Here is a 19,696-nt window from a genome sequence, read left to right on the forward strand (position 1 = left end):
CCCCAACTCTATTAAACACACACACACACACATGCACACACACACAAATTAGCTGGGGGTGGTGGTGGGCACCTGCAATCCCAGCTACCAGGGAGGCTGAGGCAGGAGAATCACTTGAACCTGGGAGGTGGAGGTTGCAGTGAGCCAAGATCGTGCACCTGCATGCAGCCTGGGCAACAGAGCAAGACTCTGTCTCAAATAAATAAATAAATAAATAAACAACAACAAAAACAAAAACACTCTCTTTCCTCTGGGAGTGATTCTGCTCCCAAGTAAGAACTGGCCAGCTATTTTAGGTATCTTCCAAAACACACATATTGAGCAATTAAGATTCCAGGAACCATCTGGGTGTGGTGGCTCACACCTGAAATCTCAGCACTTTGGGAGGCCAAGGCAGGTGGATCACCTGAGGTCAGGAGTTGGAGACCAGCCTGGCCAGCACTGTAAAACCCCATCTCTACCAAAAATACAAAAATTAGCCAAGTGTGGTGGTGTGTGCCTGTAATCCCAGCTACTCGGGAGGCTGAGACAGGAGAATAGCTTGAACCCAGAAGGTAGAGGTTGCAGTGAGCTGAGATTGTGCCGCTGCACTCCAGCCTGGTGACAGAGCAAGATTCCGTCTAAAAAAAAAAAAAAAAAAAGATTCCAGGAACCATAACAGGTACTAGAAATTTAAAAATGAGTAGAAAAAAATCACATTCTCAAGTACCTTTCAGGCCAGAGTGAATAAGGTTACAGGGCTATGAAGCTAGCATTTACAGAATATAGAGACAAAACGGGGATAAAAACACTGGATTTAACAACACTGGGTTAGGTGCTGTAAAGACAGTAAGGCTTAGAAAGGGTCTTTAGAAAGTCCTGGTTACAGAGGGGGATGAGGAAAAGGACACTCTCAAGGCAGCAGCATGAGCAAAGACATGGAAATAAAGTGTGTTTTCTGAGGGATGAAAGTTCAGGAATATAAGAGAGGGAGTGGGAGCGGTGGGAATGGTCCTGGCCTCTTTAAAAGGGAACGTGGAAACCTAGAGAGGTAAGCAGAGGCCAGCCTTCAGCTGGACTCAAGTAAATTTGAGCATTCCAGTCCCAGCAGCTACAAGGGACACAGGAAAAAGGAGGAAAGCTTAGAATAAGCCCAAGCATAGGGGACTAATAGGTTATTTTCCCTCATAAAGCTGGAACACAAGGAGTACTCCGTGTGTGGGTCAATGAAAAAAAAATCAAAGAAAATCAATTTCTTGCCTCAAATGTTAGTGTTACACAAAGAGGTCAAAAATTGTCCCTGAGAATTATAACAAGCTGGATTTATATGGGTGTGTGGGCTCAACTCCAGTATAGATGTGTTTTGCAAAAACCTTAAGCACAGAGAGTTCTAAAGTGTTTTTGAGGGGGCCATGCATTCAGGCATCCGGCAGAATCAAATGCAAATTCTATTTAGAGAAAGAGATCAAAATAATTCTCACAAATAAAGATTCAAGAAAAATGAGTACAGAGTAAAAGAGAAACCGGAATGCACACATAAAAAAAAAATCATCCAGGTGCGGTGGCTCACGCCTGTAACCCCAGCACTTTGGGAGGCCGAGGCAGGTGGATCACGAGGTAAGGAGATCGAGACCATCCTGGCTAACATGGTGAAACCCCATCTCTACTAAAAATACAAAAAAATTAGCCGGGCATGGTGGTGGGCGCCTGTAGTCCCAGCTACTCGGGAGGCTGAGGCAGGAGAATGGCGTGAACCCGGGAGGCGGAGGTTGCAATGAGCAGAGATCGTACCACTGGACTCCAGCCTGGGTGACAGAGTGAGACTCTGTCTTAAAAAAAAAAAAAAAAAAATTAGCCGGGCGTGGTGGTGGGTGCCTGTAGTCCCAGCTACTCGGGAGGCTGAGGCAGGAGAATGGCGTGAACCCAGGAGGTGGAGCTTGCAGTGAGCCGAGATGGCGCTACTGCACTCCAGCCTGGGCGACAGAGCAAGACTCCATCTCAAAAAAAACCAAAAAAAAACAAACAGGAGTGGTATAAAAGACTTAGGATATTTGAACTGTCAGCACAGAATATAAAATAAATATATTTAATATATTCAAAGAAATGAGAGGTTAATGAAAGTACGAAAAATAATCAGAAGACTATAAAAATGAATAAGCAGATTTGAAAAAAATGAAATATAACTTCTAGAGATAAAATGCATAATAAGTAAAGTTAAGAAGTCAATGGAAGGGCTTAAGAGTAGATTAGGAAAAGATAAAGAGAGAATAAGTGAATTGGAAGATAGACCAGAAGAAATAATAAAGCAAAAGCTCAGAAATGGAAAATATAAAGCAACCCCAGCTACATGCTGCCTACGAAAGAGGCACATTTATATTCAAAATAGTTTAAACATAAAAGGACTCACATTACTTGATTTCAAGACTTCCTATGCAACCACAGTAATTAAGGCAGGATGGCATTTGTGAAAGGATAAAAACACAAGTTAATGGAACAGAACACAGAACTCAAAAATAAGCCCCTACAAATATACTCAATTGTTTCACAAAAGTACAAAAAGCAATTCTACAGTCTTTGTGACAAATAATGTCTCAACAATTTTATACTCATAAGCAAAAGGGATCTCAACACATACCTCACACCTTATATCAAAACTAACTCAAAATGGATCACAGACCTAAACATAAAAAACTATAAAACTTTTAGAAGAAAACCAAAGAAAACCTGTGTGACTTTGGGTTTGGCAATGAGTTAGATACAACACCAAAAGCCTGATCAATTTAAGAAAAAAATTTGATAAATTGGACTTTTTCAAAATTAAGAACTTTTGCTCTGTGAAAGACAATGTTAAGAGAAAGAGAAGGCACGGCACAGACTAAGAGAAAATTATTTGCAAATTACATACTTGCTAAAGCACTCATATCCAGGATATAAAGAACTCTTACTAAGAAAATAACCTCATTTTAAAAATTAACAAGATATCTTGACATTTCACCAAAGAAAATATATGGAAGGTGGCTGGGCGCGGTGGCTCACGCCTGTAATCCCAGCATTTTGGGAGGCCGAGGCAGGCGGATCACCTGAGGTCAGGAGTTCAAGACCAGCCTGGCCAACATGGTGAAACCCCATTTCTACTAAAAATACAAAAATTAGCCAGGCATGGTGACACGCACCTGTAATCCTACCTACTGGGAAGGCTAAGGGAGGATAATTGCTTGAACCCAGGAGGCAGAGGTTGCAGTGAGCCGAGATGGTGCCATTGCACTCCAGCCTGGGCGACAAGAATGAAACTCTGTCTCAAAAAAAAAAAAAAAAAAAAAGAAAATGTATGGATGGAAAGTAAATATATGAAAAGATGTTCAATATATCTGTCAAAAGGTGAATGCAAATTAAAACTATAATGAAAAACTACTATGTACTTATTAGAAGGCTAAAACTAAACACACACACACACAGACACACACACACACACACACCCCTGACAAATATCTGTGAGGACTCAGAGCAAGAGCAACTGTCATTCATTGTGGTGGGAATGTAAAATGTACAGCAGCTTTTGAAAACATTTTGGCAGTTTCTTATAAAGTTGAACACAGACTTACCACACAACGCAGCAATTCCACTCCTAGGTGTTTACTCAAGTAGTGAACTGAAAACTTACATTCACCTGAAAATTTATATTCAAACCTATATGCAGATGAATGCTTTATTCAAAACTGCTAAAAAGTGGAACAATTAAGATGTCCTTCAATAAGTGAATGGATAGAGACTGTGGCCCATCCATACATGGGATCATATTCAAGGGAATCACACGCCAAGAAAAAGGAAGAAACTACCGATAAGATATGAATGAATCTCAAAGGTATGCTAAGTGAGAAAAGCCACTGTCAAAAGGTCACATATGTGATCCCATTTATTTATTTATTTATTATTTATTTGAGAGGGAGTCTCGCTCTGTCGCCCAGGCTGGAGTGCAGTGGCGCGATCTCGGCTCATGGCAAGCCCCGCCTCCTGGGTTCACGCCATTCTCCTGCCTCAGCCTCCCAAGTAGCTGGGACTACAGGCGCCTGCCACTACGCCCGGCTAACTTTTTGTATTTTTAGTAGAGACGGGGTTTCACCCTGTTAGCCTGGATGATCTCAATCTCCTGACCTTGTGATCCACCTGCCTCGGCCTCCCAAAGTGCTGGGATTACAGGCAAGAGCCACTGTGCCAGGCCGATCCCATTTATTTTTTTATTTTTATTTTTTATTTTTTTGAGACAGAATCTCACTCTGTTGCCCAGGCTGGGGTGAAGTGGCACGATCTCGACTCACTGCAACCTCTGCCTCCTGGGTTCTAGCGATTCTCCTGCCTCAGCCTCCCGAGTAGCTGGGATTACAGGCACACGCCACCACACCCTGCTAATTTTTGTATTTTTAGTAGTGACGGGGTTTCTACATGTTGGTCAGGCTGGTCTCGAACTCCCGACCTCAGGTGATTTGCCCGCCTCAGCCTCCCGAAGTGCTGGTGAGAGGTGACAGCGTGCTGGCAGTCCTCAGAGCCCTCGCTTGTTCTCGGCACCTCCCCTGCCTGGGCTCCCACTTTGGTGGCATTTGAGGAGCCCTTCAGTCCCCCACTGCACTGTGGGAGCCCCTTTCTGGGCTGGCCAAGGCTGGAGCCCACTCCCTCAGCTTGCAGGGAGGTGTGGAGGGAGAGGCACGAGCGGGAACCGGGGCTGTGTGCGGCGCTTGCGGGCCAGCTGGAGTTCCGGGTGGGCGTGGGCTTGGTGGGCGCCGCACTCGGAGCAGCCAGCCAGCCCTGCTGGCCCCGGGCAATGGGGGACTTAGCACCCGGGCCAGTGGCTGCGGAGGGTGTACTGGGTCCCCCAGCAGTGCTGGCCCACCGGCGCTGCGCTCGATTTCTCACCGAGCCTTAGCTGCCTCCCCGCGGGGCAGGGCTGGGCACCTGCAGCCCACCATGCCTGAGCCTCCCACCCACTCCATGGGCTCCCATGCGGCCCCAGCCTCCCTGACGAGCACCACCCCCTGCTCCACGGCGCCCAGTCCCATCGACCACCCAAGGGCTGAGGAATGCGAGCGCACAGCGCAGGACTGGCAGGCAGCTCCACCTGCAGCCCCGGTGCGGGATCCACTAGGTGAAGCCAGCTGGGCTCCTGAGTCTGGTGGGGACGTGGAGAGTCTTTATATCTAGCTCAGGGATTGTAAATACACCAATCAGCACCCTGTGTTTAGCTCAAGGTTTGTGAGTGCACCAATCAACACTCTGTATCTAGCTGCTGGTGAGGACATGGAGAACCTTTATGTCTAGCTCAAGGATTGTAAATACACCAATCGGCACTCTGTATCTAGCTCAAGGTTTGTAAACACACCAATCAGCACCCTGTGTTTTGCTCAAGGTTTGTGAATGCACCAATTGACACTCTGTATCTAGCTGCTCTGGTGGGGCCTTGGAGAACCTGTGTGTGGAAACTCTGTATCTAACTAATCTGATGGGGACGTGGAGAACCTTTGTATCTAGCTCAGGGATTGTAAACGCACCAATCAGCGCCCTGACAAAACAGGCCACTCGGCTCTACCAATCAGCAGGATGTGGGTGGGGCCAGATAGGAGAATAAAAGCAGGCTGCCCGAGCCAGCAGTGGCAACCCGCTCGGGTCCTCTTCCACACTGTGCAGGCTTTGTTCTTTCGCTCTTTGCAATAAATCTTGCTACTGCTCACTCTTTGGGTCCACGCTGCTTTTATGAGCTGTAACACTCACCGCGAAGATCTGCAGCTTCACTCCTGAGCCAGCGAGACCACGAGCCCACCGGGAGGAACGAACACTCCAGACGCACTACCTTAAGAGCTGTAACACTCACCGCGAAGGTCTGCAGCTTCACTCCTGAGCCAGCGAGACCACGAACCCACCAGAAGGAAGAAACTCCGAACACAGCTGAACATCAGAAGGGACAGACTCCAGACGCGCCACCCGAAGAGCTGTAACACTCACCGCGAGGGTCCGCGGCTTCATTCTTGAAGTCAGTGAGACCAAGAACCCACCCATTCTGGACACACTGGGATTACAGGTGTGAGCCACTGTGCCTAGCCGACATGATTCCATTTATAGGACATTCTGGAAAAGGCAAAGCTGTAGTGACAGAGAACAGATAGTGGCGGCCAGGGATAAGGGATGCACAGCCACAGAGGGGCCTCACAGACTTCCTGTGTGGTGACGGAGCCGCTCTGTCCCGACTGTGATGTTGATGACATGAACTTGGACGTGTTTTAAAACTCCTCTGAGGAAGCTGGCTCCTGGTTAAAAAGGTCTGTGCGAAATTTCAGGCACAAACATAAACAATCACCAAGGCTTTACCCTGTGGGCCTCATGGAGGAAAACTGCCCTCCCCACAACGGACGTGGTGTACAGCCAACGTACTGTGGATGCTACAGGACTATGATGTGGTCCCCGGTCCTGAGTGTATTGTTGATGCTGATGTCCCATCTATGTACACCCCTGCTAGCCTTTGCCCCAGTCCCTGATGGGAACTGCTGCAGTTAGGGCCGTTACAGAGCAGCATAGGAAGACTGAATCCACCCGACTCAGGCTATGGCTAGTTCCCTGGCCATTGGATCAGGCCGCCGGCCAGCCTCAGACTGGCAGGTAAAACAAGGTTCCTGGTGGAGACAGGACTTTTTAAAAAAAAAATAATTTCAACTTTTTCTTTAGATCCACAAGTCCATGTGCAGGTTTGTTTTGTGGGTTTACTGCGTAATGCTGAGGTTTGGGGTACGACTGATCCTGTCGCCCAGGTGGTGAGCACAGAACCCAACAGGCTTCCCTCTTCCCTCCCTCCCTCCCCACGTTTGAGGTCCCCTGTGTCTACTGGCCCCATCTTCGTGTCCACGTGTACCCAGTGTTTTGCTCCCACTTATAAATAAGAACAGAGAACATTTGGTTTTCTGTTCCTGAGGATGAGACATTTAGATAAAAATCAGTTCTGCTCCTAAGAAGCATTTTGTTACCCATACGGGTGCTCACCAAAAAGACTCCAGTGCTGACCCAGGAAACACAACCACCCAACTGCGCTTGCTAAATGCAGACTAAGATGTCTTCCACTCCGGAGCAAGCAGATATGTGACTGACCGCCTCATGGAGCCATGAGAAACGTCCCACAGAGATGCAGACATGGCCTAGACCGAGCCTCCGCGTGTGCTGCTTCTGCTCTCAGAAGACGGTGAACCACGGGAAACAGCTGTCCTGCTTTCCAGACTCTGGTCAAGGCTAGCAGCGCCCAAAGGTAGATTGCCAGGTCAATCGGCCATGACATTCTCGGCAGGTAGATCAATGTTTCGCTGTTTCCTTGTGGTTTGGCCCAGCCAACCCCACACATTCCACTGACTTGGGCCACACTATCCAGGCCCGACATGACCAGATCTGCTTCCCGTTCAGGTTTCCTGAGCGCAGTGCTTCTGAGAACAGCCCCAGTCCAAACTACACATCAATAGGCCCAATCATGGGGCGTCTGAGGAACCGTATCGCTCACGAGCAACAGGGTAACTGACTGTTGTAACGGACAGCTTCGGTGGCTGCTGGGAGGGGACGAGATAACCGCAGCCTGGACTACGCAGCTCAGGCAAGCGACCTCAGGCCTCACGCAGCCGTTCCCCGCAGGGCACTTCCCACGGGTACCTCCAGGCTGCCCTCCGTCACGCGTCCCTCTTCTCCGGGCTGCCCTCCGTCACGCGCCCTTTTCCAGGCTGCCCTCTGTCACGCTCCTTCTCGAGGCTGCCCTCCATCACGCGTCCTTCTTCTCCAGGCTGCCCTCCATCACGCACTCTTCTTCTCCAGTTACAGACACCTCAGACTCCACGGGGCACGGTGCAAGGCCCTTTCATCCCCTTTCTGAAGCCTCAAATAGACGGGAGATATGTAAACCTATTTTTAAACCTTTTAAAAGTTCAGGATTTTGTGCTCAACAATTCTTAAACATGATTTATCTTTTTGGTTATGTAAAAATATTTTGTCCCTCTTGTATACAACCTTTCCAGACAGCACGTATGAATGAAAACAGGAGACATTTTGTTCTTAAGTTTTGATTACTACATGGGACACACAGGTAACAGAAAAACAAAACAAAACTGGCATCTGGGAGGCTCAGGGAAAGGGAAAAAATAATAATGATCTTTATTTTTCAGACCTGCTCCTAAAAGCTTTCTCCTCCTCCTAAAAAACCAAACACAAGAGGTCCTCTTGCTGCCTTTCCATGGACTGTGGCGGCTGTGGACTTGGACCGTCTGCTGAGCCCACACCTCGGCTTCCTCACGGTGCTGACGAGGAGAGGCAGAGGACTGCCTTGGCTCCTGGGCTCTGTGCAGAACTCCTCCAGAGACTGTCCACACTTGATAAGGTGGGACTAACAAACTCATGTCATGGATAAACAGAATGGTTTGGAACTCAGTCCCAGGCAGGCCCTCTGAAGTCAAGGCCTAAACCCAATGATCCAGACTGGACAGAGGCCCGACGATGGGAAGCCACCTTGGATCCCTGTTAACCTCACAACCTGAGGCGTGCGTGCCCGGCTGGGGCACCTGACCTTGTGAATTCGTTGTTTCTAGGGGACCACGTGTGCCCTCTGGGATTGCACTCAGGACCTGTCTCAGCCTGGAAGACATTCAGGTCACGTTCAGTTTCCTGGCCAGTGTTCTGCTGTGCCTGAATTGATGCCTCAGGCCAGGTAAAGAAGATTCACACAGATTCTTCTGTCTCTCCAGTGGGCTGTGGGGCGTCTTTCCTGGCATGGCAACTGCCGAGGTGACTGCTGAGGCCATGTTCAGTCCTCCGGGCCCGACCATCCTGCTTGGAGTGGCGTCATAGCCATGGTCTGCTGTTGCCTCAGACGATTTACCTGGTTATTGTCACGGCCCGTCAAAGTCTGACCTATTGGGGTCCATGATGAGGTAGCCTGTTTCACACTTAGGTCCTAAAAAATCAAGGAGTGGAGTCAAGGAGTTCAGCTCCTGGTTAAATACCTGTAGTGCGGCCGGGCACGGTGGCTCACGTCTGTAATCCCCGCACTTTGGGAGACTGAGGTGGGTGGATCCCAAGGTCAGGAAATTGAGACCATCCTGGCTAACACAGTGAAACCTCGTCTCTACTAAAAATACAAAAAAATTAGCTGGGTGTGGTACCGCCTGTAGTCCCAGCTACTCGGGAGGCTGAGGCAGGAGAATGGTGTGAACCCGGGAGGCGGAGCTTGCAGTGAGCAGAGATTGTGCCACTGCACTCCAGTCTAGGCGACAGAGCGAGACTCCATCTCAAAAAAAAAAAAAACAAAAAAAACCTGTAGTGCATGTTCAGGTGTAAGCACAGGCAATTACCAAGGCTTTACCCAGCAGGCCTCAGGGGAAAACTGCCCTCCCAAGAGACTTGGTGCACGGCCAGCACACTCTGGTCTTTGAGGGGAGCTGCAGTCAGGGGTCGTGATCTCACACATTTGCCCTTCTTACCCAGGCACCTGCACTCCAGTCTCCTGAGGCCTTTCTCAGGTGCTAATGCAAGACCTCCTCGTTGGGGTGGGGGAGAACCCTGAAGACACTTTTCCCCACTTTGACTCAGTACCTGGTACTTTTCTACTCCCAGCCCCTCCCTCCCTACCCCAGGGTCCAAAAAAATTGCTGGAGTTTTTTGTTCAGGGCTCCCTCGGCTGAGGGCAAAGAGACAATCCCCACATCTGCACTGATGCAACTGGCTCTTTGTCAGAAGCATTAGAACCAAAGCGACTCCATCTTGAGTGAGGGCGAGGGAAAATGAGGCTGGAGCTTGCTGGACAGCATTGCCGGGAGGTGAGGTATTCCTGGCCTCTAGATGTTTACGGTTAAGGGAACAGATTAATAATGTTTACTAAACAGGCCCATGCCCAGGAACGTCCTGATGTCCCCATGTCTTGAGAACAAAACCGTTTCTAATTTTGCTTTAAAGATAATAATATTGATTCTTATAAAATATATTAAGAAAATCAATCCTTTATCACAAACCCTTGTGGCTGAGCACATCTCCCTGTGACTGTCATTGTTGTTGTCCTACATGTCAACAAGCCTTGTACCTAGGGTGGGCGCCTTCCTCCTCCTGCTTTCCGGAATGCCCTGCTCTGCCTATGGAGTAGCTATCCTTTATTCCTTTACTTTTTTTTTTTTGAGACGGCGTCTTGCTCCGTCACCCAGGCTGGAGTGCAGTGGTGCCACTCCTGGCGTAGGACTGAACATCAAAAAAAGAAAATATCAGGAAGAAAGGAAAGGCAGGGAAAGGGTGAGAGGGGAGAGGCTGACTAGGTGGTAAGAATTCCTCCGAAAGGTGAGGGGACACCACAGTCTGTTTCTTGAGTCAACAAAGTATGGAAACAGAGCTGAACGCAGATCCCTGCATGTCAAGCCTCTGCCAACAGGAGCGGCATTTCCATCCAAAACACATCAACATTCCAGTGGAGAGCATACTTATGGGGACCATTTGAAGGTTTCGTAATGATCAATTCTGCCAGGTGATTTAAGTTTCTTTCCTAAAACTGGAATCTAGGTAGGATGTGCAACCAAGACCCCATCTCAGTCCTCGAAGAAACTGTGTTCTGAATTCTTTCGATTCATGCCCTTAGCTGACATTGAGGAGCTCCAAGAAATAGTCCTAGGAAACCTGTTTGTTTATTACAAGGCTGCTATTTAGGATCTTACCACTATGCCATGTATATGAATAATTATCAAAACATTTTCTTTATGTGTAATTATCGGAAGTATTTGCTTCTCCAGAGTAATTTGTCTGCTTTTTCCTTTTGACAAGAGGAACCCACGTTAACTATTCCTACTTCCCTTTCTGTTATGGCTTCTGGAAATAACAGAAAAGCTTGCAGTTCAACTCTGTAACAGGGAAGGATCCCATTTCTTATTGATCTCTTCCAACTTTAAGACTTTTGTATGATTCTTTTTCTCACTCTGTCACCCTGGCTGGAGTGCACTGATGCGATCTCAGCTCACTGCAACCTCCATCTCCTGGGTTCAAGTGATTCTCATGCCTCAGCCTCCCGAGTAGCTGGGAGGCTAATTTTTGTATTTTCAGTAGAGACGGGGTTTTGCCATGTTGGCCAGGCTGGTCTCAAACTCCTGACCTCAAATGATCTGCCCTCCTCGGCCTCCCAAAGGGCTGGGATTACAGGCATGAGCCACCATGCCCAGCTGAGACTTTTGTATGTTTCTATAATCTACTTTGTGCTTCTTTGGACATCTTCTTTCCCAAGTTTATATTTTCTCTTATTTAAATGTATTTAGACCCTTCTGTGTGTTGCAGAGATTTCTGTAAGCCTCATAACACCCACAAAACAGAGGATAAACCGATAACCCACCTGTGACTGGATCATTTTCATGAAACAGAGGATAAACCGATAACCCACCTGTGACTGGATCATTTTCATGAAACAGAGGATAAACCGATAACCCACCTGTGACTGGATCATTTTCATGAAACAGAGGATAAACCGATAACCCACCTGTGACTGGATCATTTTCATGAAACAGAGGATAAACCGATAACCCACCTGTGACTGGATCATTTTCCGCTGCTCTTGGGAAATCTGCTGTTTTGTGACTTCTCTTAGTCCTGACACCCTGGAGTGGCCTCTGGTCAGTGGTCTGTAAACTGAGAATACATCCTTGGTCTTGTGGGCTCTTCTTTCTTATCTCACATGAATTGTCTTGTTCCAGAGGGCTATTGCCTGTGGATGCAGTGGACATTTTATTTTAGATGATCTAATTAATTTGGGAACCTAAATCTTGGTGTTCTCTTGCTGGGAGCTCAGATTATTTAAAGTCTCGAACTAGATGTTGGGTAGGCTCACACCAGGGCTAGCGGGCGGGAAGCAGGGTGGAATGTGAGCTACTAGCACGTCTCCGTCGGGTCTGACCTGCATCTAGGCCAGGTCTGCAGTACGCACGGAACTGAACAGCCCCGGCTCCACCCATAAATGCCAGATGGAAACCACTCCCCTGGCTGGTTCAAGCAGACACCTCCAGAGGAGCACCACTACCCTAGACTGCTCAGCACAGACATCATGAAGCTCTGGAAATGCCATGAGGACTTATCCATTTGGCAGCAATACTTCCTGGAGGCACCTAAATCAAATTACTTGTGTTAAGTGCTACAGAGTAAAACACCAACTTACTTCTAGGCAGGGTGGTAAACAGAAAATGGACTTTAGACGGAGATGGATCAGCCCAGGAACAAAAGGAAAACATAGATCAGAGGAACTAATGTAAGAGTAAAAAAAGAAAAACAGACACCCCTGGGCAGACGCAGGCTGGGGTGGAGCTGAGGCGTGGGTCTGAGGCTGAGCAGGGCCTGGCTGCAGCCTACAGCAGATGGGAGCCAGAGGGCGCAGCAAGACACAAGGCAGGGAATGTCTTATGTTGCCTCTTCCCCAGTTCACACCGGAACAGATACTGCCTGCACTTTCCTTCAGAAATCAGCAGTAACAGCCCAGCTGCCGGTTTCCAAGGGGTACCTGAGGCAGACCCCAGTCCCTGTGGAACTGAGGAATCATGGAGGGGTAAAGGCTGCTGCTGTTCTTTGGGTATTTTCTGACCTCCTGCCTCCAGCATCCCAGGGCTGGGAGTTGCGGGAGTGGCAACTCACAAGCTGCCCAGAGTGGGGGCAGCTCACAGCTGGAAGAGGGGGCACAATTCCCAGGTCTACCCTCTGTCCTGGGCCCCTGAGCGCCCCTCTGCTTCAACTCATCAGAAGCTTCAGAGACTAAAGCCTGGCCTTCAGCCCTTCCCTCACGCGCATCTCCAGACCACGTGGGGGAGCAGCTGACACCCCGAGGGGAATGTGTGCTCACAGGCCTGGAAGGGCAAATATAGATTTAAAAGGAGGAAAAAATCCCTAATTTTCCCTCATGCAAAATACAGAAAGAGATTCACCCCCTTGTTTTTTTTTGGTTTTTTTTTTGAGGCAGAGTTTCGCTGTTGTAGCCCAGGCTGGAGTGCAATGGCATGATCTCGGCTTACTGCAACCTCCGCCTCCTGGGTTCAAGCGATTCTTCTGCCTCAGACTCCCAAGTAGCTGGGATTACAAGTGCCCACCATCACGCCTGGCCAATTTTTTTGTATTTTTAGTAGAGTCGGGGTTTCACCATATTGGCCAGGCTAGTCTCGAACTCCTGACCTCAGGTGATCCGCCCACCTCAGCCTCCCAAAGTGCTGGGATTACAGGTGTGAGCCACCACGCCCGGCCACATTTTTTTCTTTGAGACAGGGTCTTGCTCTGTCACCCAGGCTGGAGTGCAGTGGCATGATCTTGGCTCACCGTAGCCTCAACCTTCCTGGGCTCAGGTGAATTCTCCCACAACAGCCTCCTGAGTAGCTGGGACTATAGGTGTACGCCACCATCCCCAGCTAATTTTTGTATTTTTTGTAGAGACGGGGTTTTGCCTTATTGCCCAGGTTGGCCTTGAACTCCTGGGCTCAAGTGATCCACTGGCCTTGGCCTTCCAAAGTGCTGGGACTACAGGTGTGAGCCATTGTGTCTGGCCTCGTTTAATTTTTATTCAATAATAAAATTATTTTTCTTTATTTTCTACTTTTGTGAAGAGGTCTTCTGGGTTGGCAGATTTTAGGTTTATTTCCCCAAATAATCAGGCCAAATAATCAGGTAACTAAGTATAACCATCATCTTTAAAACTTTTTCAAAAGTTTTTTTTTTTTTTGAGGTGGAGTTTCGCTCTTGTTGCCAGGGCTGGAGTGCAGTGGCGTGATCTCGGCTCACTGCAACCTCCACCTCCAAACTTTTGGAGCCCTTAACCCCTCCATGATTCCTCAGTTCCACAGGGACTGGGGTCTGCCTCAGGTACCCCTTGGAAACCAACAGCCTGGGCTGTTACTGCTGATTTCTGAAGGAAAGTGCAGGCGGTATCTTTTCCAGTTTTAAAAACTTTTAAAACTTTTTCAAAGACCACAAACTGCACAAAAGATACCATCTTAGGCAGAAGATGGAAAAGACTGACCAAGATTTAAAATAAGCATAATGAACTCAAAAAGCACCACATCCTGGTACACACGAATGCTCACACTTTACATTTCTTCACTGCCCATGGACCAGGCCACTTAGATGAAGCCAGACACGGAATCAGAGCCAAAGAACTGAAGGACACGCAGCTGCACAGGGACGCTCTTTCCTTCATCAGAATGAGTCTGAAAAGAAATGTCCAAAAAAAGCTTCCTGTAAACTTGGGAGACAAGAGGGACGGAAATTCTACCTCACGTAGCAATCCTGCCAAGCAACGTTTGTCCAGCACTTGCCATCTACACCTGTGGAGCGAGGCCACGTGGCCTAGGAATGGTTGTCGAGCAGCTCTGAAGCTCCCAGGGCTGAAGCAGGTGACTCCCAAGCACACGGCAAGGGCCCCACAGGCAAGGGGCTAACCGGCTAGCCAGGAAGATAACAAGTGGCACGAGGCCAGTGGCACCTTTCCAGAAAGTGAGGTAAACTGAGCGAGAAGACCTACAGCAAGAGCCCTTTTCTCGTCTTTGTGTGTCTTCACTGTCCCACAGAAATAGAGTAAGCAATGACTGAAGTCTCCGCTCCCCTGCCTCAAATGAGGGAGGAAAGTTAGGACTGGATATTAGCAAATGGCCGGGTTTTGCCTCAGGGCAACTGAAAAAAAGAGTACAGCCAGACGCCACTCCTCTGCGCGGTCTCCCACGTACCCCAGAGGCTGAGGATTGGAGAATTAGACAAGGGTCGTTCCCAGGTGACCCCACGCTCAGGAACCCCACGGTGCACAGCCAGCAGCAGCCACACCTGCAGGGCCCAGGAGGCGGGGACCAGTGTAGCTCACGCCTGGCACCTGCGGAAGCAGACATCAGCGTAGCTCACGCCTGGCACCTGCAGGGAGCAGGAGGCAGAGACCAGTGTAGCTCACGCCTGCTTGGTATCTGTTGGGGGAAAGGCTTATGGGGTGCCTGTATTAACTGGCCATAAAAATATGGGACAAGAAGTTGTGGAAAGCCACAAGAGGCCTCTGAGGAGGAAAGCCTTCTTATCGCCGTGATGTTCCCAGGCTCTGAGTGAGTTGCTCCATCATCCATAAACACTGTGTTCAAGGAGAAGGACACTCCTTTGAAGCACTGGAAGCCAGACGTGCAGGCTCCTACTTAAGCCCACTCCCACTAGCTACTCTCCGATAAGTTAAAAATAGGCTGTTTGAGCACAAAGGAGATTCATTTAAACCACCAGTGCTATAGATTACACGTATGATGGGCGCACTGCCTCCCTTTCACTGTTTCGCCCTGAACGTCTGCTTCTTAGCTGTAAGTGATGGTACTCAATCAATAGAGTGGAGACCAGAACCCTGCGCCTTTTGCAGCCTCCGATTTGCAATTGGCCCCCTGGCCCTCACTCTTTATGCACTCTTAACCTGTCTCTTCTCATTCCTTTGTCGCCACCGGACTTTGGGTACCCTACGGGTGGTGTTGAGGCTGGTCCCCAACAGTATCTGCAGGGAGCAGGAGGCGGAGACCAGTGTAGCTCGCGCCTGGCATTGGCTCCCAAGTTCTTAATGTCTCCCTCTCCGTCATTAAGAGAATCAAGGTAAGACTCAGGTCATGAGGGGAGACAGGTCCCAGTGTCAACAGGGACAGTTAACAGCCACAGTCTCTCTGGAAGCATTGGCTGAACTCTGGATTCTGACCCAAACCGTGGTGAATGGCAGAGCAAGGACACTGAGGTAGGAGGAATTCCTAGAAATGGCGGGAAAGGAGAGGCATGGCGCAGGCTTCGCCCGTTCGCAGCTGAAGTAGAGAGAAAGGTCAGAGGCTCTAAGAGGACTCTTTCTAGTCCGCAGTGTGAAGGGTTTGCGGCTCGAGGCAGATTCTCGAGAAAAAACATCCTGGAAGAGCCCAGAGATTGGCATCCAAAGACGCAGCTCCTCCTGAGACGCCTGGGAGCTCCTTCAGGCTTGTGGCACAGAGGTCGGGGGCTCTACCATCTAGGAGGCCCAGAGAGAAGCCCTGACTACAAAGAGACCCCATAGTTACTGGCATCCAAACCTGGGGTCCCTGAGATCAAGGTCCCCCTGCCCTCCCGGAAGCTTCGAATTAGTTCGGACCCTTTTTGAGTGAATGCAGAGGGGACCTCCTCCGGCTGCTTCTCCAGCAAAGGGAACATCTTGTCGTCCTGAGTCCAAAAGCAGCCACCCTGGCCTCCCCCTTCAGAATCCTGAGTATTTAATCCCTCTGCTCTCACATTCACACCGAAACTCTCACCCCACACACACTGATCTACAAGTACACGCACACTCAGACATGCGCACACACTCACGGATGCACACACATGCACACGTACAGACACGCACATACGTGCAGACGTGCACAGACGCACATACAGACACACAGACATGCACACACAGACGCACACGTACAGACATGCGCAGACATGCACACACACAGACGCACACACACTCAGACACACTAATACACCCGTACATCACACACAGACGTGCACACACACTGATGCACACGTACACACACACAAAGACAGGCATACACAGACACCCTGAGTACATCGCACATACACTCACAGACACACACAGATACACAGGTACACACACAGTACACACAGACATGCACACACACTCACAGATATGTACATCACACAGACATGTACAGACATACTGATAACACACGTACATCACAGACATGTACACACAGACACACTGATACATCATACACAGAGACATGTACACACACTGATAACGAACATCACACATACAGACATGTACAGACACACTGATACAAATACATCACACATACTCACAGACGCACACACATACTGATACACACGTAACGTATACACAGACACGTACACATAGACATGCACACACACACTCAGACACACTGATACACATGTACATCACACGCAGACATGTACAGACATACTGATAACACGTACATCACAGACATGTACACACAGATACATCATACACAGACATGTACACACACTGATACGTACATCACGCATACTCACAGACGTACAGACACACTGATACACAAGTACATCACGCATACACACACACTGGTACATAACGTATACACAGACGTACACACAGACATGCACACACACTCAGACACACTGATACACATGTACATCACACATACACTCAGACACGTACATACAGACGCACATGTACATCACACACAGATACACGTACACACAGACACGTACACAGACATGCACACACTGATACACACGTACATCACACACACAGACACGTACACACAGATACACACGTACATCACACATATACGTACACACAGATACGTACATCACACACACTCACAGACACGTACACCCACAGATACGTATCTCATACATATACACACTCAGACATGCACGCAGATTCATACATACATCACATATACACACACACGTACACACACACTGATGTACACGTACGTCACACACACACATACACACACTGATGCACACGTATACCATACACACAGACATGCACACACTCAGACACAGATACACACGTTCGTATCACAGACACGTACAGATACACTGATGCACACGTACATCCCACATAACATACACAGACATGCACAAACTCAGATATACACGTACACCACACATGCACACACAATGATACATACATGACACATACACATGTACAACACACATCACACAGACAAGTACACACACATTGATACACATGTACATCACACATCACACACATACACATACACCACACATACACATACACGCATACATCACACACTATACTCACACTCATACACACATACACACTCATACACACATCACACACATTCAAACACATACGTACATCACACAATACACATTCCCACACACGTACATACATCACATACACACACGTTCACACACATCACACACACACAGTCTCATTTACTCGCTACGAAAGCAGCATTTGCTGAATTCCTATTACACACCAGGCACTGTTCTGAGCACACGGGAAAGACCACTCAACAAGATGTACGGTGTCTCTGCCCTCTAGGGAAACAGCCAAGTAAATAAATGATTTCTGACTGTGAGCGCTCAGAAGAAATTTTAACTGTGGGCCAGGCGCGGTGGCTCACGCCTGTAATCCCAGCACTTTGGGAGGCTGAGGCGGTAGGCAGATCACTTGAGGTCAGGAGTTCGAGACCAGCCTGGCCAACATGGTGAAACCCCATCTTTACTAAAAATACAAAAAATTAGCCGGGCATGGTGGCGGGCACCTGTAATCCCAGCTACTGGGGGCGTTGAGGCGGAAGAATCACTGGAACCCAGGAGATGGAGGTTGCAGTGAGCTGAGATCACGCCACTGCACTCAAGCATGGGCGACTCTGTCTCAAAAAAAAAAAAAAAAAAAGGAAATTTTAACTGTGACCAAGGGATGAATGGGCAGAAGATATTCCTCCCAGACGTCGTAGAGGCTTGTGGGAGGAGGTGGCTTTTAGCTGAGCCTGAAGCAGGAGCAGTCCGCCACGGAAGGCTGGGCCGACCACACCACTCCAGGCACCTCAGATGCAAAGGTCTTGGGTGGGGGAGCCGGAGGTCATCAGGAGGGATGGAAGAGGCCTAGGAGGTACAAACAGCAAGGGGGAAATTCTACAAGGAGAAGACCTTAAGGCCAACGGGGTCACTGAGAACTTTTAAAAAAGGAAATAATCACGTAAAAAGAGTGATCACTGATCAGCGGTCACAAGCTACAAGGAGAGGGCCAAAGGGCAAAAAGACCTGTCACTCACGAGAGGCTTGCCTGAGCCAACCCACGACCCATTCACATTCGGATCTGCTTCCAGACCCACCAACACGGCCCTGCCAAGTTCCCCGGATTACCAAGTCCCAGAGAGGGCCTCCATCACACACACACCCCAGACACAAACCACTGAACTCCGCAGCTCCAAGCCCCTGCCAACCTCCAGCATCCCAAGTCCCCCAGTCACTCACAGTGACCACCTGAGAATTCTCCAGGTCCACATCCCAAGACATCCCCAGATCACTGAATCCAATAGGCCTGCTTCACAGACCTCCAGACCACACAACCACCGAACCCCATCAACCCCACTCTCACTCACCCCATGTGCCCCCATCACTCCCACAGGACCACAATGGCTGACTTCACAGGCCACCCAGTCTCTCTCCCCAAGAGGCCGCCCCTCCAGGGCCTTCAGAGACACACACTATGGGTTCCCCAGTGACCATCCAACAAAGACCCCAGGCGGTAACTCTAGTGGCCCCACAACAGCCTCCAGAAACACCTGACCACAGACTCCACAGACTGGCACAGTATAGACCACTAATCACAGATACCCAAAGGCCACTAACTTATTATTATCTTTTTTAAGATGGAGTCTCACTCTGTCATCAGGCTGGAGTGCAGTGGCAAAATCTCGGTTCACTGCAACCTCTGCCTCCTGGGTTCAAGCAATTCTCCTGCCTCAGCCTCCTGAGTAGGTGGGATTACAGGCGCCCACCACCATGCCCAGCTAATTTTTGTATTTTTAGTAGAGACGGGGTTTCACCATGTTGGCCAGGATGGTGTGGATCTCTTGACCTCCTGATCTGCCTGCCTCAGCCTCCCAAAGTGCTGGGATTACAGGTGTGAGCCACGGTGCCCAGCTAAGGCCACTAACTTCTAACTCCACATTCACCGCAAATGGCAAACAAACTCTTA

General features: G+C 48.9%; 1 protein-coding gene across 2 annotated transcripts in view; it reads right to left on the minus strand.

Annotated features, from left to right (window-relative positions):
• ZNF605 (zinc finger protein 605) overlaps positions 1-19,696 on the minus strand; it is a 38,001-nt gene that overhangs the window by 15,776 nt on the left and 2,529 nt on the right. The window contains exons 2-3 of one of the 2 annotated variants that reach the window (NM_183238.4): positions 14,067-14,189; positions 11,540-11,716 (exon numbers count right to left, since the gene is read on the minus strand). In NM_183238.4, the coding sequence (NP_899061.1) occupies positions 11,540-11,554 (15 nt within the window). In that variant the 5' untranslated portion in view covers positions 11,555-11,716; positions 14,067-14,189. The remainder of the gene's footprint in view (positions 1-11,539; positions 11,717-14,066; positions 14,190-19,696) is intronic. The other variant, NM_001164715.2, reaches the window with a different exon arrangement.

Source organism: Homo sapiens, chromosome 12 (assembly GCF_000001405.40).
Source record: "Homo sapiens chromosome 12, GRCh38.p14 Primary Assembly".
NCBI lineage: Eukaryota > Metazoa > Chordata > Mammalia > Primates > Hominidae > Homo > Homo sapiens.